Source organism: Homo sapiens, chromosome 11 (genome assembly GCF_000001405.40).
Source record: "Homo sapiens chromosome 11, GRCh38.p14 Primary Assembly".
Taxonomy (NCBI): domain Eukaryota; kingdom Metazoa; phylum Chordata; class Mammalia; order Primates; family Hominidae; genus Homo; species Homo sapiens.
In genome coordinates this window covers 31158616-31183247 of record NC_000011.10, presented here as the reverse complement: position 1 = coordinate 31183247, position 24632 = coordinate 31158616, and the positions used below count along the sequence as shown (strand labels likewise).

The window sequence follows — 24632 nt, the reverse complement described above, 5'->3', positions numbered from 1 at the left end:
GGTCCACTTGGTCCAGAGCTGAGTTCAAGTCCTGAATATCCTTGTTATTTTTCTGTCTCATTGATCTAATATTGACATTGGGGTGTTAAATCTCTCACTATTATTGTGTGGGAGTCTAAGTCTCTTCGTAGATCTCTAAGAACTTGCTTTATGAATCTGGGTGCTCCTGTATTGGGTGCATATATGTTTAGGATAGTTAACTCTTCTTGTTGCATTGATCCCTTTACCATTATATAATGCCCTTCTTTGTCTTTTTTGATCTTTGTTGGTTTAAAGTCTGTTTTATCAGAGATTAGGATTGCAACCCCTGCTTTTTTTTTGCTTTCCATTTGCTTGGTAAGTATTCCTCCATCCCTTTATTTTGAGCCTATTTGTGTCTTTGCACATGAGATGGGTCTCCTGAATACAGCACACCTATGGGTCTTGAATCTTTATTCAGCTTGCCAGTCTGGGTCTTTTATTTGTGGCATTTAGCCCGTTTACATTTAAGGTTAATATTCTTATGTGTGAATTTGATCCTGTCATTATGATGCTAGCTGCTTATTTTGCCCGTTAGTTGATGCAGTTTCTTCATGGTGTTGACGGCCTTTACAATTTGGTATGTTTTTGCAGTGGCTGGTACTGTTTTGTTGTTGTTGTTGTTGTTGTTTTGTTTTTACATATTTAGTGCTTCCTTCAGGAGCTCTTGTAAGGCAGGCCTGGTTGTGACAAAATCTCTCAACATTTGCTTGTCCATAAAGTACTTTATTTCTCCTTTGCTTATGAAGCTCCATTTGGCCAGATATGAAATTCTGGGTTGAAAATTATTTCCTTTTAGAATGTTGAATATTTGCCCCCAATCTCTTCTGCCTGGTAGGGTTTCTGCAGAGAGATCTGCTGTTAGTCTGATGGGCTTCCCTTTGTGGATAACCCCACCTTTCTCTCAGGCTGCCTTCATTTCAATCTTGGTGTATCTGACGATCATGTGTTTAGGGGTTGCTCTTCTCGAGGAGTATCTTTGTGGTGTTCTCTGTATTTCCTGAATTTGAGTGTTGGCCTGTCTTGCTAGGTTGGGGAAGTTTTCCTGGATAATGTCCTGAAGAGTGTTTTCCAACTTTGTTCCATTCTCCTTGTCAATTTCAAGTATACCAATCAAACGTAGGTTTGGTCTTTTCACATAGTCCCATATTTCTTGGAGGCTTTGTCTGTTCCTTTTCATTCTTTTTTTCTGTAATGTTGTTTTCACACTTTATTTCATTAAGTTGATCTTCAATGTCTCATATCCTTTCTTCAACTTGATTGATTCAGCTATTGATCCTTGTATATGCTTCACAAAGTTCCCATGCTGTGTTTTTCAGCTCCATCAGGCCATATATGTTCTTTTCTAAACTGGTTATTCTAGTTAGCAATTTGTCTAACCTTTTTTTCAATGTTCTTAGCTTCCTTGTATTGGGTTAGAACATGCTCATTCTGGTTTTTGGAATTTTCAGCCGTTTTGTGCTGGTTTTTCCTCATCTTTGTGGATTTATCTACCTTTGGTCTTTGATGCTGGTGACCTTAGGGTGGGCTTTCTGTGTGGACATCCTTTTTGTTGATGTTGATACTATTTCTTTCTTTTTGTTAGTTTTCCTTTTACCAGTCAGGCCCCTCTGCTGCAGGTCTGTTAGAGTTTGCTGGAGGTCCACTCCAGACCCTGTTTGCCTGGGTATCACCAGCGGAGTCTGCAGAACAGCAAAGACTGTGGCCTGTTCCTTCTTCTGGAAGTTTCGTCCCAGAGGGGCACCCACCAGATGCCAGCTGGAGCCCTCCTGTATGTGGTGTCTGTCAACCCCTGTTGGGTGATATCTCCCAGTCAGGAGGCATGGGGGTCAGTGACCCACTTGAGCAGGCAGTCTGTTCCTTAGCAGAGCTCAAGCACTGTGTTGGGCAGTCCGCTGCTCTCTTCAGAGCTGGTAGGCAGGAATGTTTAAGTTGGCTGAAGCTGTACCCACAGCCTCCCCTTCCCCCAGGTGCTCTGTCCCATGGAAATGGGAGTTTTATCTATAAGCCCCTGACTGGAGCTGCTGCCTTTCTTTCAGATATGTCCTGCCCAGAGAGGAGGAATCTAGGGAGGCAATCTGGCCACCGTGGCTTTGCTGAGCTGCAGTGGCCTCTGCCCAGTTTTAACTTACCGGCGGCTTTGTTTACAATGTGAGGGGAAAACCACCTACTCAAGCTTCAATAAGGGTGGATGCCCCTCACCCCACCAAGCTTGAGCATCCAAAGTCGACTTCAGCCTGCTGTGCTGGCAGTGAGAATTTCAAACCAGTGGATCTTAGCTTGCTGGGCTCCGTGGCGGTGGGATCTGCTGAGCTAGACCACTTGTCTCCCTGGCTTCAGTTCCCTTTCCAGGGAAGTGAACAGTTCTGTCTCACTGGTGTTCCAATTGCCACTGGGGTATGAAAAAAAAAACAACAAAAAAACTCCTGCAGCTAGCTCAGTGTCTGCCTAAACAGCTGCCCAGTTTTGTGCTTGAAACCCACGGTCCTGGTGGCGTAGGCACCTGAGGGAATCTCCTGGTCTGTGGGTTGCGAAGGCCATGGGAAAATCATAATATCTGGGCTGGAGTGCACCATTCCTCACAGCACAGTCTCTCAAGGCTTCCCTTGGCTAGTGGAGGGAGTTCCCCAACCCTCTGTGCTTCCCGGCTGAGGCAATGCCCCACCCTGCTTCAGCTCACCCTCCATGGTCTGCTCCCACTGTCTAACCCGTCCCAATGAGACGAGATGGGTACCTCAGTTGGAAATGCAGAAATCACCCGCTTTCTGCATTGATCTCACTGAGAGCTGCAGACCGGAGCTGTTCCTATTCGGCCATCTTGCCAGCCCCCCAATTTAATGTTTTGATATATATCTATGTTATATAATGATCCAATCAGGGTAGTTTGATAATAAATCCATCATGTCATACATTAATTATTTCTTTGTGGTGAGAATATTCAAAAGCCTGTCTTCTAGCTATTTTGTAATATACAATATTTTGCTGTTAGCCATAGTTACCTACTGTGCAGTAGAATACCGGTATTTATTCATTCTATCTAATTGTAACTTTATACCCATTGGCTAGCTTCTCCATCTTCCTCTCATTCCTTACCCATTGAAGTATGTTCCTTCAGTGTCTAAGTTTGTTGGGAGTTTTTATCATGAAGGGATGTTTAATTTTACCAAATGCTTTTTCTGTGTCTATTGAGATGATCATATGGTTTTGTCCTTCATTCTGTTGTTGTCATGTTTATTGATTTGCATATGTTGAATCACCCTTGCATTCCTGGGATAAATCCTACCTGATTATGGTGTGTTATCTTTTCAATGTGCTGTTGGATTTGGCTTGCTAATATCTTGTTGAGAATTTTTGCATCTATGTTTTTCAGAGATAATGACCTGTAGTATTTGTTGTTGTTGTTGTTGTGTCTTTGTCTGGTTTTGAAACCAGGGTAATGCTGGCCTCATAAAATGAGTTTGGAAATATTTTTTCCTCTTCAATTTTCTGGAAGAGTTTGAGAATTGGTATTAGTTCTTTAAATATTTGATGGAATTCAGCAGTGAGGCCATCCAATCCTGGGATTTTCTTTGGTAACTACTGTTCTTCTCTCTTTGATATCAACTTTAAGTAAAAAAGATCCCACATAGGAGTGAGATCATATGGTATTTGTCTATCTGTGATTGGCTTATTTCACTTAACATGATGTCTAGATTCATTCACATTGTCACAAATGACAGCATTTCCTTCTTTTTAAAGGTTGAATAATATTCCATTGTTTATGCATACTACATTTTCTTTATTCATTTATCTGTTGTTGGACGCTTAGGTTGATTCTGTATTTTGGCTGTTGTGAATAGTGCTACAATAAACGGGAGTACAGATTGTCTTGGACATAGTTATTTCATTCTGTTTTGATATATATCCAATAATGGGATCACTGGATCATATGGTAGTTCTATGTTTAATATTTTGAGGAACCTTCATAGTGTAGTAGTAGTTTTCAATCCCACCAACAGTATGTAGGTTTTCCTTTTCCCTTTTCTCCACATCCCAGCTAACACTTGTTTTCTTTTCTCTTTTTGGTGACAGTCATTCTAACTAGAGGAAGGTGGTATATATCATTGTGAGTTTGGTTTGCATTTACCTGATGATTATTAGTGGTGTTGAGCATTTTTTTTCATATACCTGTCAGCCGTTTTTATATTCTCTTTTGAGAAGTAGTTACTAAGGTCCTTTGCCCATTTAAAAACTTGGGTTGGCTGGGCGCGGTGGCTCACATCTGTAGTTCCAGCACTTTGGGAAGCTGAGGTGGGCAAGTCACAAGGTCAGGAGTTTGAGACCAGCCTGGCAAACATGGTGTAACCACGTCTCTACTAAAAATACAAAAATTAGCCAGGTGTGGTGGCAGGCGCCTGTAATCCTACCTACTCGGGAGGCTGAGGCAGGAGAATTGCTTGAACCCAGGAGGTAGAGGTTGTGGTGAGCTGAGATCGCGCCACTGCATTCCAGCCTGGGTGACAGAGCAAGACTCCGTCTCAGGAAAAAAAAGAAAAATTGCGTTATTTTGTTTTTTATTGTTGAGTTGTTTAAGTTGTTTTTATATTCTGGATATTAACCCCTTGTCAGATGTATAGTTTAAAAATATTTTCTCCTATTCTGTAGGTTGTCTCTTCATTTTGTTAACAGTTTCCTGTGCTGTGGAAAAGCTTTTTAGTTTGATGTAATTTCATTTGTCTATTTTTACTTGTCTGCGCTTTTGAGTTCTTATTTTAAAAATCTTTGCAGAGCCCAATGTCATGAAGCATTTCCTCTTTGTTTTCTTCTAGTAGTTTCAGGCTTTACATTTTTGTTTTTAATCCATTTTGAGTTAATTTTTGTGAAAGGTAGGATCTAATCTCACTCTTCTGCATGTGAATATCCAATTTGCTTAGCACCATTTATTGACAAGATTTTCTTTTCTACAATGTGTATTCTTGGCAACATAGTCGAAAATCACGTGACTGTGGGTGCATGAATTTATTTATGGGCTCTCTACTCTGTTTCATTGGTCTGTGAGTCTGTTTTTATGCCAGGACCATGCTATTTTAGTAATATAGCTGGTTACAACTTGTTTTGTGGCCTAACATGTGATCTGTTCTGGAGATGTTTCATGTGCCATTGAGACAAATGTATATTCTGCAGCTGTTTTATGAAATGTTTTGTAAATATCTGTTTGGTCCATTTCGTCTCTGTTGCAGTTTAAGTCTGATGTTACTTTGTTGATTTTTTTTGTCTAGATGATCAATGGTGTGTTGATTACATAGCAGTGTATTGAAGTTCCCTACTATTATTGCATTGCAGTTTATCTCTCCTTTTAGATCTAGTAATATTTGCTTTACATATGTGGGGGCTCCAGTGTTGGATGTATTTATATTTATAATTGTTATATCTTCTTGTTCAATTGAGCCCTTTATTATTATATTGTAATCTTCTTTGTCTCTTTTTACAGTTTTTGACTTAAAATCTATCTTATCTGGTATAAGAATGTCTACTCTTGCTGCTTTGGTTTCCATTTTCATGGAATGTTATGTGCCATCCCTCCACTTTCAGTCTATATTTGTCTTTAACTGTGAGGCGAGTCTCATGTAGGCAGCATAGAGTTGAATCTTGTTTCTTTACTCAATTCAGCCACTCTATATGTTTTAGTCAGAGAATTTAATCCATTTATATTGAAGATTATTACTGATGGATAAGGACTTACTCCTACAGTTCTCTTAATTGTTTTCTGGTTGTTTTGTAAATCTCTTGCTTATTTCTTTTTTTCTTGTTTTGTTTTGTTTTTATTTTCTTTTTTCTCTTCATCTCAGTCTTAAAATTATTTATTCAAAGATGCATTTTTGTTTTTTTACCTCTGTGGTTTGGTGGTTTTCTGTGGTGCTAAGCTTTTTTTTCCCCCTACTTTCTTATTTGTCCATTTGCTATACTTTCTTTCTTTGTCATTATCATGGGGCTAACATAAAGAGTTTTATAGTTAATAACGGATTGTTTAAACCTGAAAGCAAATCGCCTTTGGTCTCATAAAAATATTCTAGACTCCCCCCTCCTCCCAACAATTTATATTTGTGTTGCCTTAATTTATTTTTTTAATCTATTATATGTTCCTGAGCCATTAATTGTAGCTGTTATTATTTTTGACCATTTTGACTTTAAACCTTCATGCTAGGTGATTAGGAGACTTACATAGCACCATTGCATTACTGGGGTATTATGAGTTTGATTTATGAATTTACTTCTATTAGTGATTTTTATACTTTCACATGTTTTCATGACAGTAATTATTGTTCTTTTGTTTCCAGTCGTAGCATTCCCTTAAGTATTTCTTGTAAGTCCAGCCTAATGGTGATGAATTCCCTCAGTGTTTGCCTGTCTTGGAAGTTCCTTATTTCCCCTTCATTTCTTAAGGATAGCTTTGTGGATATAGTATTCTTTGCTGAGTATTTTTTTTCCTTCAGAACTTTGAATGTATTATCCCATTCTCTCCTGGCCTGAAAGATTTCTGCTGAGAAATCTGCTGATAGTCTAATGGCCATTTCATTATATGTGACTTGATACTTTTCTTTTGTCACTTTTAGAATTCTCTCCTTGTCTTTGATGTTTGATGATTTAATTATAATGTGCCTGGCAGAGGATCTTTTTGGGTGGAATATAATTGGGAACCTTTGGGCTTCCTGAATCTAGATGTTCATATCTCTCTCAATTACTTGGCAAATTTTCAGCTATTTTTTGTTAAATAGATTTTCTTTGCTTTTCTCCATATCTTTTCCCACTGGTATTCCTATAATGTGAATATTTCTTTGTTTAACGATGTTCTATAAGACTCAAAGGCTTTGCTCATTTTTGTATTCTTAATTTTTTTCTCAGACTGAGTTATTTCAACAGACCTGTCTTCAAGTTCAGAAATTACTTATTCTGCTTGCTCTAGCCTGCTATTGAAACTCTCAATTATATCATTTATTTCATTCATTGAGTTCTTCACCTTCAACATTTCACTTTGGTTCTTTTTTGTGATATCTATCTATTTTTTGAATTTCTCACCCAGATCATAAATTGTTTTGTAATGTTATTGAATTGTTTGTTTTCTGCTGTATCTTGCTCAGTTTCCTTAAGATCATTATTTAGATTTTCTTTTTAGGCATTCTGTAAAAGTCGTTTTCTTTGTGATCTGTCATTGAAGACTGATTACATTCTTTTGGGGATATCACATTTCCTTGCTTTTTCATGTTTCTTGTGTCCCTACATTGATATCTGTGCATCTAGTGGGATAGTTGTCTTTTCAAATTTTATGATGTACCTTTGTAAGGAGAGACTTTTTCCTGTAGATAGGTGTCTGTTGGGTAGGGTGCATTAACTTCGGTTCTGAGTAGACTCAGTAGCATGGTCTCCATGCAGTTTCTTCAGTTGCAATCCTTGTCAACAATATCTGTGATTGCTTTAGTGGCCTAGCCTGTGAGAGTTTGTAATGGCAGTGGCACAGTTTTGCTAAAGGCAGAGGTGCTCAACTGATTGTCAAGCTGCACACATGTGGGCATGGAGGTTGATAGGATGTCTGGAGGGCTCTCTGGGGAAGTGATGGTTCCTGTTGAGATGGCCATTGGCTGGACACAGGTGTGCATGAGTGTGGCTGGCTGAGCAGCCCTGTGGTGGTCTTTCCACAAAAACAAGGTTGCTTCAAGGACTGACTGTTGGGTCGAGTACGAACACATGTATGCTTGGTGCACTGGCCAGCTGTGTAGTGGGTGTGTGTGTGGGTGAGGCAACCAGCCAGCTTTAGCAGCTGCCCTGTTATACAGGTCCCCCTGTTCCTTGGGAGAATGGTGTGCCACATGGGTTCAGATGCTAGGGTCTTGGTCCTTTCATCTGGCCTAGGCTTTGAGCCATCAGGGTTATGGTTGTGTGGGGTCTGGCCACTGTGCACAGCCAGGAACACTGGTTGTGGCTGGGTGGGTGGCTCCAGGCCCTGGCACAGGTGCCAGCTTCCTGTGAATCTGTGGCTGAACCAGGCATCCTGCAAGAAGCTCCCATGGCTGGCACTGGGAAATGCAGTGGCATCCGGAAGCTCGGAGATGCCAGACACCACTGTGCCTCAAAGAGGGTGTCACAGCCTTGGTTCAGGAAGCTCCTAGGTCTGGGCTCCTTGAAGGGCCTCAGCTCTTCTCTCCTTTTATCTTTCCTTCTTGTCGACTGCAATTTGGTGAGCAAGTGGCATGTTTCAGCCCTGTTTGTGTTACATTTCTTTTAGCCCTGCCATTTGGCAGGTCCAAGTTCCTGAACTGTGTCCAGGAAGGATGAGGTAAATGAACAAGTTGAGGGTGAGCAAGACGAAGAGGAGCTTTATTGGCCAACAGAACAGCTTAGAGGAGACTTGCAGTGGTAGCTCCTCTCCACAGCCAGGGTGTCCTGATGAGTGTTCAGCTCTCAGCAGAGAGGAGACCCTGGAGTGGGTAGCTCCTCTCCACAGCTGGTTGTCCCAGTGTCTTCTCAAGTCTGGCTGAGTCCTAGGTTTTTAATGGGCTTCAGAGGGGAGGAAGTACATGCTGATTCATCCATGGGCAGCTATGGGCAAGCCTGGAAAAGCATCACAAGTTTCCACTCCAGTCCATGGGCCTGGCACCCTTGCCCCCAGGCTTCAGGTTTTCCCTGAGTCTGAAGGTGGGGCTTCACGAGAGACCCATCCCTTTCCACTCAGAAGCCCGTCTGCCTCCTGCCACTGTTCATGGTTCCCATACTGTTCATGCTGAGGGGTGCCTGCCGGCCAGCACCGAGCTGCCCTCAGCACCCCCCTTGGCCTCCATCTTGTGCTGGTTGGTGCCCAAAGTCCAGAGGGGCCCAAGGTGGCAGGGGGCTGGCATGTCAGCATTGCTCTGAGCATGTGCACACCCAGCCAGGTTGCGACAATGCCTGGGCTCAGCCTCAACTCTGCTCTGAGATTGGAACTGGGAGAGGACAGGCAGTGGGAGTAGGCAACTCCAAGCCTGCAGGGGCTTGGTAGGGCCTTCCCAGGCCTCTGACAGTGCAGAGATGCCTGGGTCTGCAGCTGCAGCTGGGCGGCTGCAGTTGCACCTGGGAGGGTGGGGCTCCTTTCTGCTCCTGGCTCCCAAGAGCACAGGGATGCCTGGGTCTGCAGCTGCAGCTGGGTGGCTGCACCCGCGTTGGGGAAGTGCAAGACTCCTGCCCTGAAAACTCAGAAGGGTGTAGGGCTTCCACCTGTTCCTGGCTCCCACCAGCTCTTTGGAGTGGGCAACCCCAGCCAAACCTCCCCCACTGCAGCTAGCATCATGGCAGCAGCTGCCCTAGACAGGCCGCCACTCTCATCATTTAGACAGACAGCACATGAATGAGATCCTTTATAGAATATGCACATTCTAACTTGATGAAAACCTGGCCAAATTTTCTTTTTTGGGTTGTCACCCAAAAAAGATGTCTAAAAAGATGTGGGGGTGTGTGTGTGTTTGTGTGTGTGTGTGTGTGTGTAAGTGTGTGAAGAGGAACATGGGGAAATCTCTTAGAATTGATTGTAGTAATTTCATATTTTGAACAAGGTTAATGGCAGTTGTTGAGAAGTGAGGCTATTCCAGATATCTAGTCAAGCCTGTTTCCTATAACCTAAATTTTTGTTTACTTTTATCCATCTACTTTAGTGGTCTATCATTCTCCAATTGAAATGGTGCCTGAGGGTGAAATTGGAAACTCTCTAATTTATACAATCCAGAGATAAAATTGCTTTAATTCAGTGAAATGGAGGATGTTACTGAAATAAGTGTTGGAGAACTTAAAATTCCTTTTTGGATATTGCATTGCAGTAAGAAAAAAAATCTGCTTTCATTTTTATATTTTCATCTTAAAATGTGAAACTCTTATTTTATAAATGCAATGTAAATAATATCCGTAATTGTACCATGCCAGTGTGAATGAGTCTCGGGTGATGTAATGTCATACACTGAATTAATTGTTGGTATACACCAAATTCTTCGTCACTTTCTTATCTTTGTATCTTATCAGAGTAAATTTACTTTCTTTGATTTTCATTTTAAAACAAAAATATTTTTATACATTTAAAATTATGTTGTAATATCAATGTAACTTTCAAAGTAAACCAGCCTCTATCCTTCAGGCATTGATACATAATCCTCGAGGTCATCTGTTTTTCTCTTTGAGAACTGAGTGATGTAGTAGTTGTATTGATTCCTTCTAAGGTCTCTTTCAGCTCTTATGAGTCTATGAATCTATTTATATGTGCATCATTTCTTTGGAATTTTATCACTTTTGTTCTTAGAGTATGTAACTAGGAGAGTCCTTCTTATAACTACAGTCGATCCTTGAACATGGGTTTGAACTGCATGAGTTCACTTATGTGCAGATTTTCTTCTGTCTCTCCATTCCTAAATTAACAAGATGAACCTCTTGTCCTCCTCCTCAGCTTGCTAAAGAGGAAGATGAGGATGAAGATCTTTATGATGATCCACTTCCACTGAATAAATAGTAAACATATTTTCTCCTTCTTATGATTTTCTTAATATAATTTTCTTTTCTCTAGCTTATGTTATTGTAAGAATACAGTATGTAATACATAAAACACTAAAAATATGAGTTAATTGACTGTTTATATTATTGGTAAGGCTTCTGGTCAAGAGTAGGCTGTTACTAAATTTTAGAGGAGTAAAAGGTTATATGAGGATTTTTGACTGCATGGGGTGTTGGTACCCCTGGCCTCCATGTTGTTTGAGGCTCAACTGTACTAATTTATAGATTTCATTATATTGATGTCAGTAAATAGACAATAATAGAGATGGAAAATATTTTCAACTTAATCTCATCAATTAAAAAATAAATGGCTTTTTCAGAAATGTCTCTCATTCTCTTAAAAATTAATATATGACCCCTAGTGTCTATGCTTATATTAAAATAATCTTAGAATTCTTAGACTAAATCTGATAATTATTTTTTTCAAAATATATTAAGAAAGAAAAAATCTGGTTGATAGATATTAGAAGGTATCATCTTGGATCTGAAGTTTAGATTATAGGGAAATATATAATTTTTAAAATTATAATTAAGCATAATACAGATTGATAATTAAATTGTGTATAGGCATATCTAAGCTATTTTATACCTGTAACATAATGGAAATCTGTCACTCTGACCATCAGTTTTTTCATTCAATCACTTGTTTTCTCTTCTATCAATTTCCCTTTCTTAATGTATTATATAAAGTAAAATATGCCAAATGAATTTCTCACAGAAGAATAACTCCTTTGAGAGATCATGAGTCTTTCAACCATATCTATCTAGAATGATTATTAGATCAGTTGAAATGTCTATAAGCTTACCTTGATGAGCTACAATTTGTCAGTACTATACACATGAAACTTGTTTGAATGAAAGAAAACTTTTCCTAAAACAACCTTTAATTTAAGCTTGATCAAGTAGTTACTGATTCTCTTTGCCAATATATTAGGCTGTCTGCATTCCAGATGTTGTAAAATTATACTACAAAGTCCCTGGTGATTGGGGTAGGTCATATAATGACTCCGGGTCCACAAGTTGTAAATAATTAATCATTAAGGAAATAATGATCGTCTCTTCTAGGATGGAGAATTTGATTTCCAGTTGAAGACACTTCAAAGCTTTCTTTCCTTCTGCCACTGTGACTGGTAGGGATGTTTACTTCTCCATCAGTTTGGGTCTTTGAGTGAGTGAAGAGATATGGTGTATCCAGTCAACCTATAATAGACATGTAGGTTGAGAGAAATAAATCTTAGTTGTTAAAATTCAAGGATTGGCAAATTGCAGCACATGGGCCAAATCCAGCCTGTAGCCTGTTTTTGTAAATAAACTTTTGAAGAAACACAGCCACATTTTTTTTTTTCATGTTGTTTATGGCTGACTTTGTGTTACAACACCAGAATTGAGTAGTTGCAACAGAAATTGTATGGCCAGAAAAATTGAAAACACTTGTTATCTGGCCCTTTAAAGAAAATGTCTAGCTTCTCCTGTTCCAGTGATGGATCCTGTGGTCTGTTCTGATAGATTGGTACTATAAGGATTCTGGTATAGAACTGTCACATCAAAATGCTGATTTTCAGCCTGGCGCAATGGCTCACGTCTGTAATCCCAGCACTTTGGGAGGCCAAGGGGGGCGGATCACCTGAGATCGGGAGTTCGAGACCAGCCTGGCCAACATGGAGAAACCCTGTCTCTACTAAAAATACAAAATTAGCCTGGCATGGTGGCTCATGCCTGTAATCCCAGCTGCTCAGGAGGCTGAGGCAGGAGAATCATTTGAACCCGGGAGGCAAGGTTGCGGTGAGCCAAGATCACGCTATTGCACTCCAGCCTGGGCAATAAGAGTGAAACTCCATCTCAAAAAAATAAATAAATAAAATAAAATAAAATAAAAAAGCTGATCTTCCTATCCTGTCTTAGCTAAGCCCAGATATTGATCCCAATAGCCTCTTGTGCCTAAAGAGTAAACCTATAGTAGGCAACAGACATCTTTGATGCTGAGGACCATTTGCTTTTACAGTATGTAGTACTATGCTATGATTGAGGTAGCTAGATGAAACATCAGATTACATAGTGTGAAAGGTAAATCTGTTTTTGTTCTTATCTCCAAGTGAACAAAATCTAAGATGTTTTATTTGAGGAATATCAATATTCTTTTAAAAATAAGATGTAGGTTTTGACAAAAGGGTTGGAAAACAGAAGCCTCAAGAGGTTCTAACTAAATTTTGAAACAATAATGAATTTGGTCATTATTACCTATTCCATACTTCTCTCTCACCCCTACCAAGTCTTTAGCATTGATATGAACTCTTTAAAAAGAAATAGAACCAGCAGATCTAGTTTTGGGATTTATAGCTTTGAGGAAAGAAGAAACTGGAAATGACCCAAAAGGCAACTTTTTTTCGGTCTACTGACTTGGACCCAAGAAGAGTGGGTGGATGGTCCAGAATGACATCAGCATACACCATGTGTGATGAAGAACCTGTCCTAGCTCAGCTAAGCTAGGCCTTTGGTACCTTTCATCTGGACTACTGCAGTAGCTCCTAGATGGTGCCCCAGTTTCCCTTATCTGTAGCCAAACTTAGTGCATTCTACTTTCTAAAGCATACATCTAAAATTTTGAATAATATGTCACTTTTTTCCTTACAAATTGGCATCTGTGGACCCCATCATGCAGCCTCACAACAGTCTCTCACCACTCCCATTCACTCACCCTGTGCCACAAACAGAAACTCAGCCACATGCATCCCACATTTTCCTTCTTTGAGCCTTAGCTTATGCTGCTTCTGCCTCAGAAAAAGCAAGAATGCTCCTTACCCCCAAAATCTTTGTCTCTCCAAGACCTAGGTTGGTTGCATCCTTCTCCCTGAAGTTCTTTCTTATTTCTTCTTCCTATAAACTTTTGCAGTGATTTGTGTACATTTCTCTTATGACAAGTACTACTTTCTGCCTTGTGTTTATATGCATGCTTTATCTCCCTAACTATACCACAAACTCATGAGGGCAGAATTCATAATTCTCTCAGCATCTAGTACAGTGTCTTGCAAATAATAATAAATATTTGTTGAATGAATGAATGAACAACTCAACTGCCCTTTTTGTGTAGGTAATGGCAAAGAGGGAAATGAGGACAAAGAGGTAGCATGTATGAGTCGTTGTCTGGCCTAGTTCTCTGTCTGCCTTTCAGGTCATAGAACCTGAGGAAAGAGCCTTGTTCTGACTAAGTGTTCATTTTATTTGAACTGCCACTTTATACCTTTATATTCATTTACTTATTAAACTAATCTGAATCTATATCCCCAGTTTCCCCACAGTCATAAAACTTATTTTATTCTTACTTTTTAAATTTTACTTTATGTTCAGTGGTATACATACAGAATGTGCAGGTTTGTTACATAGGTATACATGTGCCATGGTAGTTTGCTGCACCTATTAACTCATCATCAGGTTTGCTCTCCTTGTCCCCCACCCCACAACAGGCCCCAGTGTATGTTGTTCCCCTCTCTGTGTCCATGTGTTGTCATTGTTCAACTCCCTCTTATGAGTGAGAACATGTGGTGTTTGGTTTTCTGTTCCTGTGTTAGTTTGCTGACAATGATGGCTTCCAGCTTCATCCATGTCCCTGCAAAGGACATAATCTCATTCCTTTTTATGGCTGCCTAGTGTTCCACGGTGTATATGTACCAGGTTTTCTTTATCCAATCTATCATTGATGGGAATTTAGGTTGGTTCCATCTCTTTGCTGTTATAAATAGTGTGCCATTTTAGTCTTCTTTTAATACTCAATCTTATTTTATTGCCTTTGTCTAATCAACAATTAATTAACCTAATAAAATAAAATAATAAATTGCATAATTAATGTTTATTAAATGCTGATTATATAACAGGCAGTGTGTTAATTCACACACACACACACTCACATTTACTCCTTACAACAATCTGAGTAGGTACTATTATTATTTCTGTCTCACAAGTGAGAAAACTGAGGCATAGTGATACGAAGAGATTCCACTAAGTTATAGTGCTGCATAGCTGGTAAAGTGAAGAAGCAGCGCAACTAACCCCGTCAGTCTTTCTTAAAAACCCTCTCTCCTAGTTTGTAGAAAACTGCTTCCTCAAAGGATTTTCTCCGACTTGTCCCCATTTTTTTATACTGCCTCATTTGGTTTAACATATCAGTAAATGTATGTTTAAGCATCAAGCATTATGCTAAGGGCAGGAATATACCAGAGAGCTAGAAAACCATGTTCCTTGTCTTTAACGGGCCTGTACTTTACTTGGCCACAGAAAATATACAAATATCAAATAATTATTGGAAAACATCATCTATATTGAGTGCTAAATTGGTCAGTACAGACAAATCATAAATTTATGGATTGTTGGAGTCAAAGGTAGGAAATTTTGAGGTCAGCTAGGCTATTGTGCTTGTTTTACAGTTGAACAGCTTGACAACATATAGTGAGGTGCTAATTGTGTGATCCAAAAAATAAATAAATAACAATCAAAGGAGTTTAAAGAGATTGAGGGGGTAGAGAGTGGGTACATCAAATGGGGTTAGAAGAAAAGGAAACCAGTGTTGATGGTTGTCATCAAAGCATGATTCACAAAGGAGGTGGGACTTGACTTCAAACTCAAAAGATGAGTACATTGTATTAGGGAGAGGTTGTTTGTAGGTGTGTTTGTGCATGCATGTGTGTGCCTATGAGTGCACACATACCCAGGGCATTGCTTAAAGCTGTGAAGGGACTGAAGCATAAGATTTATACTGTCTGCTTGTTCACTATTGTATCTTCAGCATTGATGAGTGATGGTGGGTTGACATTTCAAAAGATATGGATGCCTATGCATCACCCATAGTAGTTGAATCAGAATCTTCAGGAGTTGGCTAGAGGCATCAGTATTTTAAAAAAGCTCTCCAGATGTTTCTTATGAGAAGACAGGACTGAGAACTATGAAAAAGACACTGAGTATAGTGTCTTCTATGATGTTACCATTTAGTAGAAAAATAAGATATACAAGAATAAAATAAATGTGATCAGGAGTCTGTGGTCAGTGCTCTATAGAAAGAATGGTGTAATAAAATAGAAGGATTAGATTATAGATGAGATAGATTGGTGAGAAGAGGTAGTTGGAAAGACCATTTAAAAAGCAATTATAGTAATTGTGGATTAGGAGTTTGAAGTCTAGCCTAGGGTGGTTTTTCTGGAAATAGTAAAAAGAAAGGTGTAATCTGAGAATTTTCCCAAAGGCTTGCTGACTAGTAAAATCTAAAGGGCAAGGGAAAAAAGAACTCATGAAATTAAATGACAAATACCTGACAAATGAAAAGTTGCTTTATTAAAATTCTTAAGGGTGATGTTTGGCCTATAAAAACATAACACTTACTGAACAGCTAGTGTTTAAGTTTTAACAAGTCAGCATTTAGGATTGATGAACTTATGGTGATTTTGAAATCTCATATTGATGTAAGAGCATTTTCTATTGACATATTTGCTTGGACATCCAACAATTTTTCTTAGATTAGCACTTAAACAAATTTGTGTCTCCTTTTCCTAGCCTCTTCTTACCATGAATTGAGTGAAATATAGTTGCATAATAGTTCCACCTACATTCATGACATATAATTTGTGGGCTGTGTTAGTATTAGATTTGACTACAGTATTACAGACAGCCTACCTAGCTGTGGCTTTAATCAGTAGATGAGAAGTCTGGAGGGAGACAATTGCTAGCATTAGTTCGGGGTACCAAGGATATCAGAGTTGAAGTCTCTGAGATTCTCTGAGTTTCCTCTCGTGGTTCAAGAACAACTACTAGAACTCTAATCATCATGTATATTCCAAGCAGTAAGAAGGAGAAAGCTTGGTGGGGCATAAAGAGCTTTCCTGGAAGTCCTGTGGTTCACATTTATAGCTATTGGTCACTTCTATTTGCAAAAATGGTTGGGAAATTCACTGATTCAACTAGGCATATAACCTAGAGTTCTGTTAGTGAGAAAGTCACACAGACAAATACTATTCTGCTTTTTATCTTTCTCTTTCTCTCCCTTCCCTTTTTCTTTTATTCTTTTTTTAAAAAAATGATGACCCACATATATCATACGTACTTCACTCATTTCTAGTTACTTAGATCAGCATCTTTTCTCTCCAACTCCTATAGCGAGGCTGTTTCAAGCATTTGTAATACACTTGATTCTTTTGTCATGCTTTGCATTAAATCCTGGAATTTTCCCCAACCTTGTAAATATTTTTATTTTTAAATTTGCATACATTAAGGTGCATTCCCTCTGCTGTAAAGTCCTATGGATGCTTATATCTACTTAGCATCCAATTTATTTTCGTATTTCAGTTTGTTTCACAGCATTGAAATAACTGGTTCTCACATAAAATAGTAAAAATCGTAATGGTTTTTAAATAGCTTTCCTTACAATTTCATGATACTCATCAATAAAACAAATCTAGAAACTTGAGAGAGAAATAATGAAAATTTTTGCTTCAAAGTTGAATTGCTAATAATATAGAACAGTGCTTGAATATTTAGTCATAAATATTAACGTTAGACCCAAAAGAAGCCAGAACTTACAAAAAGAAATGAAACTACCTGTACTTATATACTGATAGCTAATAGCTAAACACAATACAGTAGATACTAAATTTATTCTAGTTAAATAGGAAATTAATGGGTTAAACTCAGGAACTGCATTTATGGCTGCTATATCATACTATACAGGTTAGGTTGTTTATTTAATAGGATTTACTGTGTGAATTTTAGACATGGTAAGCACATGAACTGTGGAAATTCCCTGAATTTTATCTGGCATTGAACTGAGCTGGGCACATGAATAATAAAATAATCAAGCTTGTTATAGAGATTTTTACATGCAGAACCCAAATTATTTTAAAGGGCACTCTAGCACTACAACCTCCTCATCAAAGAAATTCAAATCTGCGCACAGTACATATGAAAAACAAGGGGATAATGCCCTTAATATATAAAGAGTTTCTACAAATCAACAAGAAAATTACTAATAATCTAATAGAAAATGATCAAGGACATGTACAAAAAGTTCTAAAAAATTAAATTAAAAAAATGGCTTTCAGCCAGGTGCAGTGGCTCATGCCTGTAATCCCAGCATTTTGGGAGACCAAGGTGGGAGGGTCGCTTGAGGCTAGGAGTTCAAGATCAGCCTGAGTAACATAGTGAGACCCTGTCTCTACAAAAATAAAAAAATTAGCTGAGCGTGGTAATGTGTCCCTGTATTCCCAACTGCTCAAAAAGCTGAGGTGGGAGGCTGAGGTTGCAGTGAGCTGTGATCACGCCACTGCACTCCAGTCTGGGTGACAGAGCAAGACCCTGTCTCTTTAAGAAAAAAAAAAGGCTTTCAAACATATAAAAAGTTGTTCAACATCATGTATAATATGAGAAATGCAAAATATAGCTCAAAGAAATTGCTTACATATTATAATGTTTACCTATTAGATTGACAAAAATTAAAAACATCCATAATATCCTGTGTCATCAATGGGTTAGGTAAACAGGCACTCATATACTGTTGTTTTGGAAAGGCAATTTGATATCTATGACTGACTATTTTATTCTTTTTCAGTTAATAATTAGGCAATTTTGTCCTATGTGGTATAGCCTATTTGCTCCTAGGCTACAAACCTGTATAGCATATTACTTTACTGAATACTGTAGGCAATTGTTACATAATGGTAAGTATTTGTGTTTCTAAACTGAGAAAAGGTACAGTAAAAACATGATAGAAAAGGTTTAAAATGGCACAGCTGTACAGGGCACTTACCACGAATGGCGCTTACAGGACTGGAAGTTGCTCTAGGTAAGTCAGTGAGGGAGTGGTGAGCAAATGTGAAAACTTAGGATATTACTGAACGCTACTGTGGACTTTATAAACACTTTTGACATAGGCTACACTAAATTTATTAAATTATTAAAACAATTTTATATCTTTAATAATTACCTTAGCTTCTGTAACATTTTTACTTTATAAACTTTTTAATTTTAAAAAGGTTTTTGACTGTTTTCTAGTAAGATTTAGCTTACAGCACAAATTGTACAGCTTTATAAAAAATTGTCTTCATATCCTTCTATAAACTTTTTTCTATTTTTAATTTTTTTTTACGTTTTAAACTTATTTTGTTAAAAAAAAGACTGACACAAACACACATATTAGGCTGGGCCTATTCAGGGTCAGGATGATCAATAACACTGTCTTCCACTTCCACATCTTGTCCCACTAGAAGGTCTTCAGTAACATGCATGGAGCTGCTATCTCCTATTATAATGATGCTTTCTTCTGGAATACCTCCTGAAACACCTGCCTGAAGTTTTGAGGGGATGTCACTCTTTTAAGAAATATGTCCATGGTGGTTTGCTTGGTTCGTTTCTTTTTTTTCATCATAGATTTGCTACAGTGTCACTAGGAGATAGGAATTTTTCAGCTCCATCATAATCTCGTGGGACCACCATTTTACATGTGTTCTGTTGATCAAAATGCTGTTAGCATGACTATACTTCAGATTTTGGGCTAAAACCTCAAATCATATTTATAGGATTTGATGATTTGTCCTTTGCCCTTTCTCATAAAGATTTCTCTTCCTTAGTTGCTTTGACCCACCACTGCATTCCTACATAAGTATAGTGGTCCAGTATGTTATGTTACTTTATGTTATTTACAGATAGAAGCAAGATTGGATAAGATAAAAATAACTCTGTTATTTTTAAATAGGACTGTCTAAGAAAAGGACTATCTAAAAAAGAAGTGAAAGAATTTGTCATGAAACACTGTTGCTCACAAATAGGAAAGCTAAAAAAGCCCATGAAATGTTAGGAGAATTCTTATTCTTCTGACCATAGATGTTTGGTTACTTGAAGCACTGATTTTGTTTTAACGTTCCTGAAAGTGTCCAGATGAGAATTTCTAAGCATATTTCTTATAAATCGTACCATCCCCCCTTAAAATAAGCTAGATTAACAAATATATACAATTAGATAAATGCAATATGCTTAAACACATGTTCCTTTTTGCAGCTTTGATTTCTGAGGGGTTTTATACTATTTCAGGCTCTCTTTTAGCTTATTTTAACATTCTAAAAGGCAAATGAGCAAATCTTAAATAAATTTTCATAAGTATGTAGCTCTGCAGAAGCTAAATAAAATATGTGAACATTATTTAAACCATATACATTATACAAACTCTTAGATTAGCATCATGGTGAAATCAAAGATAAGAACAAAACAAATGAATGGGAATAAAAACAAACAAATTCAGGAATCCAAATCATTTTTTTGATATAAGACATCAATGGTCATTCATGACTGCTAATTTCCATTTATTGTGTTCATAAACTGCCCCTCTCACCACATTCACCACATTGATTAGTATTAGAATAAGTATTGTTGTATCTTTGAACTCATAAAATAATAAATATTGCCTTTATTTTATAAATTGAGATTTCAAATAAAATACTGTTTGAAAAAAATATTGACTTAAGTTTGGTTCCTGAACTGTGCACCCAGGCACTTCAGTGGACTACACCAAAATCTCGGGTTGCCATGGGAAATTTTCCATTTTTGTTTGTCAAGACTACTGTGAACTCATGAAGTTTGGGAATTTGGGGATTTAAGTAAAGACATCGGAACATTAGATGGTGGGAAGTGCTAGATTTGAGGGTTGGCAAAGTAGCTTCAGCAAATTGTAATTAGGAGTCAAAGGCAGTGGTATAGAGCTTGTTTGAAAAGTAATACATGTAGATGTATGGTCCATGACTCAGATTTCACAGCTGTGCTAATTATTGTATGCTGTAGTAATTTTTATGATTGCCTTAAACATGTATAGGTAAATGAAATCTACTTCTCTTATAAAGTAGGGAATATATCTATAATTTTATAGTGCTAATGATATGCAGCAGTTGTTTTGTAGAATGATATCCTTGGAACAAAAGTTGTAAGAACAATGTTTGGAAAAATTCTTCAGAAATACATTGCTGGTTTTGATTTATCTAGTTCCTGTAAATATCTTTAAATAAGCCCCAATACACACACCATCGTCTGTGTTAATGATATGACTTCTCATGCAGTCAATGATTTAGCCAGGAAGATATTTTAAATAAATATGATATATTTGAGATATATTAGACCTAGAACGATTGAAAACATAATACAATTTTGAATAACAAATAAAATAATTGTAGGTGAAATCTTTTCCCAATGAAATGTTAATTATTCAAACTATAGGTGTCTGCAAATAGAAATTAAACTGAGCTGTCTTCTTAGCTTTAGTTATGACAGCAGTTTAAAATGGTTATTATGCATCCCCAGCTGCAAAAGTCTATATGCTATATTATAAGGCTTGATTAAACTCCAAGCAAATCACTACAACTTATTCCTTAGATATAATTACCCATATATCTAATTTTAAATGCTAGAATTTAAAGATATTTGACTGTTTGCTTATATCTTTAGGCTGAATGCAAATAGAACATTGTTATTCTTTATTTGAAATAACATAATTCAAAAATACTTTCTCTGTGTAAAATTATGCATAGTTTCTTTACTTACTAAAAATCAATTAATCACAACTCACCTTTGACCTGTCTTATATACCAAAACATGAGATTAACTATTATTGCTTTTTAGAAAATAAGTTTTTGTTAAAATGGCTTAATTTTTGAGCACTAAACTATTTCATTTAGATTAATTTATGCTTTCCAATATAGTTGAACATTTTCTTTCTGATGAAGTGAAATATCTAATGGCCTCTTTTGTTAATACAATTGAAGATTTATCAGATGAATTGGCCACATTGATATTCCATTATGGTGCTAAATATAAGTAGTGATTTAGAAAAACAACAACAGTACCACTACTTGTACTGAAGATGTTTGCCAACATAGAATTTGTTCACTCACACAGTGCATTAGGGCAAAGTCCTTTGAAGTCAGAGGCCACTGCTTGTATATGACTTCTGAAAAGAAAGACCACTTTTTAGTCAAAGAAGCAATCCAGTGTGGTATATCGATTTGGCAACATCACAGCTGCTTCTAATAAGTGGGATGGAAGAGCCGTTTCTATGGGGCTGGAATTACTTTTCGATTGCTGGGGCCACAGTGTTGGTACTCTTATTTTGCTGTGCCACCTTTTCTGATCAATACCGCATCACCCAGCAGATAGTAATTAGGTTTCAGAGAGCCATTCAACAAAGATCTGTGTTGACTGCGATAGACAGAGCCAAGGAAAAGGTCACACAGAATCAGCAGCCAACTAAAAGGTGATGGGTAAAGAAAAGACCCCTTGCCTGAGAAGTACTTAGCTCTTTTTTAATTACTGTAATTTTCAACAAAAGTCAGAGAGTGAGATGATGAAGTGAAGCACTTTCCTCCCTGCTGTTCCTGATGAGGCTTGATAGGCCTCGAAATTACGCATTGACTCCCCGTTTGATTTCTCCCAGTGTTTAGTGCTAATAACCTGTAGGGCCTCTTTTTTTTCTTTGTACCTCTCAGTCCTAGTGTCACTGCAGTAATTACACTGTGTGAAATCTGTACTGCAATCACAGCTGCCAACTTACAGCTTCACAGGCTGGGTCAGGCTGAGTATGGAAAAAAAGAAAGCTAATAGCTAAGAAAGAGGGAAAGATTTTAAAAAATTCCTGCAATGTTATAATGAATTTTAATAGAATTTCATCATTTCTAAACTGTGTACAAACATAACAAATTCCTAGAAACCATAAGGATTGGATGGTGCCTGTACTCTTTACTCATAATCAAACTTTTACAGAAATAAAAATGCAGCCAGTGCCAGAAATAAATGTTGATTTTAGCATCGCTGAGGCTTTGTTAATTCAAGAGCATAAGGAAATGGGTCCAGGAAATGGTGTTCTAAACAGTGCCAAATTGTGCGATAAGCATTTTTTAAATGTTTCACAGCAATATTTGTAACTTTTTAAAGAAATGCCCTTCATTAAACTGTTATTTTGTCATTCTGAGACAGGACTAACCCTGGATATACAAGTAGCACCTGCTGGTGGAATCAGGTACTAACATCCTAGATGCTGTTCTCTTGGGGAGTTTGGAACTCAGGTTCAGAAACAACAGCAATAGCAGCAGAACAGCCCTCTAGAAAATCAGGAGTACTCTTTTAATAATTGTTATTTTTTTAATGCAAAGGGATGAAATTTTTCATTATAATTGTATTCCAGATGATCTAGCATGAAAACACATCTATAATCCTCCAAAGAACTCTTACACAATTAATGAGTGTCAACTGCTGAAGCATGTAACATTTATATAGCATAAAGTTTTTATATTAAAATGCTAAGATAAAGGGTTATTAGAAACAAAGTTGTCACAAATCAAGTAATATCATAACTTAGTAAGCCATGAGGTGTGAATTCCGAATGTGTGATGAGTATCATAGTAAAAACAAATATTAAAAATGTATTAAGTTTGTATCTTAAGTTGATTCAATTATTTCAACATAACTGAAAATGATATTTAAGTACATATGTTTAAAAATATGTGATTAGTCTTAGGAATCTTATTCATAAAACATTCATGTTTACATATTCAGTGTAATGAAGGAAAGCCTCAAATGACTAAGGGCTTATAGTCACCTATTAATAAATTTTTATGTTATAAAAACCTAAAATTTTATGGAAAGTAAAGTGACAATAAAGTTAAATTCTCAAGCATTGCTGTGTTAAAATAATCAGAAATTAATGAATTAATGGAAATAAAATTTCATTATTAAGAATGGCAGCTGAAGAATTCCTTGGGGTTATTATTACAAAGACACTTGGTGGAAATGAACTAAATATGTGTCACTTCAAATGGTACAAAACACAAGGACACAGACTTCTTACACAGGATCATGCCACCTACACAGCTAAGCCATTGATTTTTTTTCTTTTTTTGGTGGAAGGGGATATCATTAATACTTTGTTAATCCCTCACAATTCATTTGTCAAGTTGCCTGTATTTCCTATTAATAGAGAAGAGGAAATTCCTTTCTGACCTTGCAAATGATGATTTTCTTTCTTGAAGCATGAGATTTGATTGCCCTGGCAATCTTGGCTCACACTTACTGCCTGCATCGTGAATATCAGTTCCTTTCTCAGTTGTAGTGTTTGACTCTATGACCTCCCACAGAAATGAATTCCAAATACAGACCATGCATTAGAAAATGGAGATGGGATTTCTTTGATACTAGATAGTAGTAGTATTGAGCTAGGAACATCCTGCTCTGATTTCTCTATAAATGCAAATCAGTCTGGGTTAGAGTGTAGATATGCAAATAGTTGTGGGAAGCATTTGCCCTATGAAATTGTACTTAAAAATCACAGAGTGGATACCAATGTACCTTTTTGTCCCTACATGGATTAGAGGAAATAGAGAATATTTTGCCAATAAACCTAGCTGGAGGAAAGCAGCTATTTTGGTAATCTATCAATTCAGACTTTTGTTTCTGGAATGTGTGATGTTTTCTGTGGAACCAGGACAAAAGTTGCTCTTTGCTTTATTAATTATTTGACAATAAAAATATTTGCACAGTGCTTTGTAGTTTATAATGAGATTTTTCTGGTCTAATTAAAGTTATCTCATTTCATTTTCTTAATAGTCCTCAAAGCAGGTATTATTTTTATTATTTTTATTGGTATTTTTTGGGGTTTTTTTGTATTTTTTTTGGTATACATCCAATTTATATTATTGGTATGTTTTTTGTTGGTATATTTTTATTTTTATTGATATACATCCCTATCAATTATGAGAATGATATTTGGGGGGAATATATAAAATGCTCAGGAAAGCAACTGTTTTGTATATTTTTTGACACTTTGGAGGGGCTTATTTAGATATAAGCAGAACACTCACTACAAGTCAAACTTATCAATTTTTCTGTGTCTCCTAAGAAATGTTACCACAGTTTGAAAAAATTGACATTGCTAATCTTGTTGCAGTTGGTGTGCATATTTGAATATGAAAAAAGACAATTCAAAACATTTATAATGAAACATTTCAGTGTTTCATGTTCTTCTTCTCCAATTTGTCTGAATTTGAAAGGCTATACTTCACTGT

At 37.2% G+C, this 24632-nt stretch overlaps 1 protein-coding gene across 23 annotated transcripts in view; it reads left to right on the top strand.

The window, feature by feature from the left end:
• DCDC1 (doublecortin domain containing 1) overlaps nucleotides 1–24632 on the top strand; it is a 506137-nt gene that overhangs the window by 186492 nt on the left and 295013 nt on the right. The gene's annotated exons all lie outside the window — the stretch shown is intronic.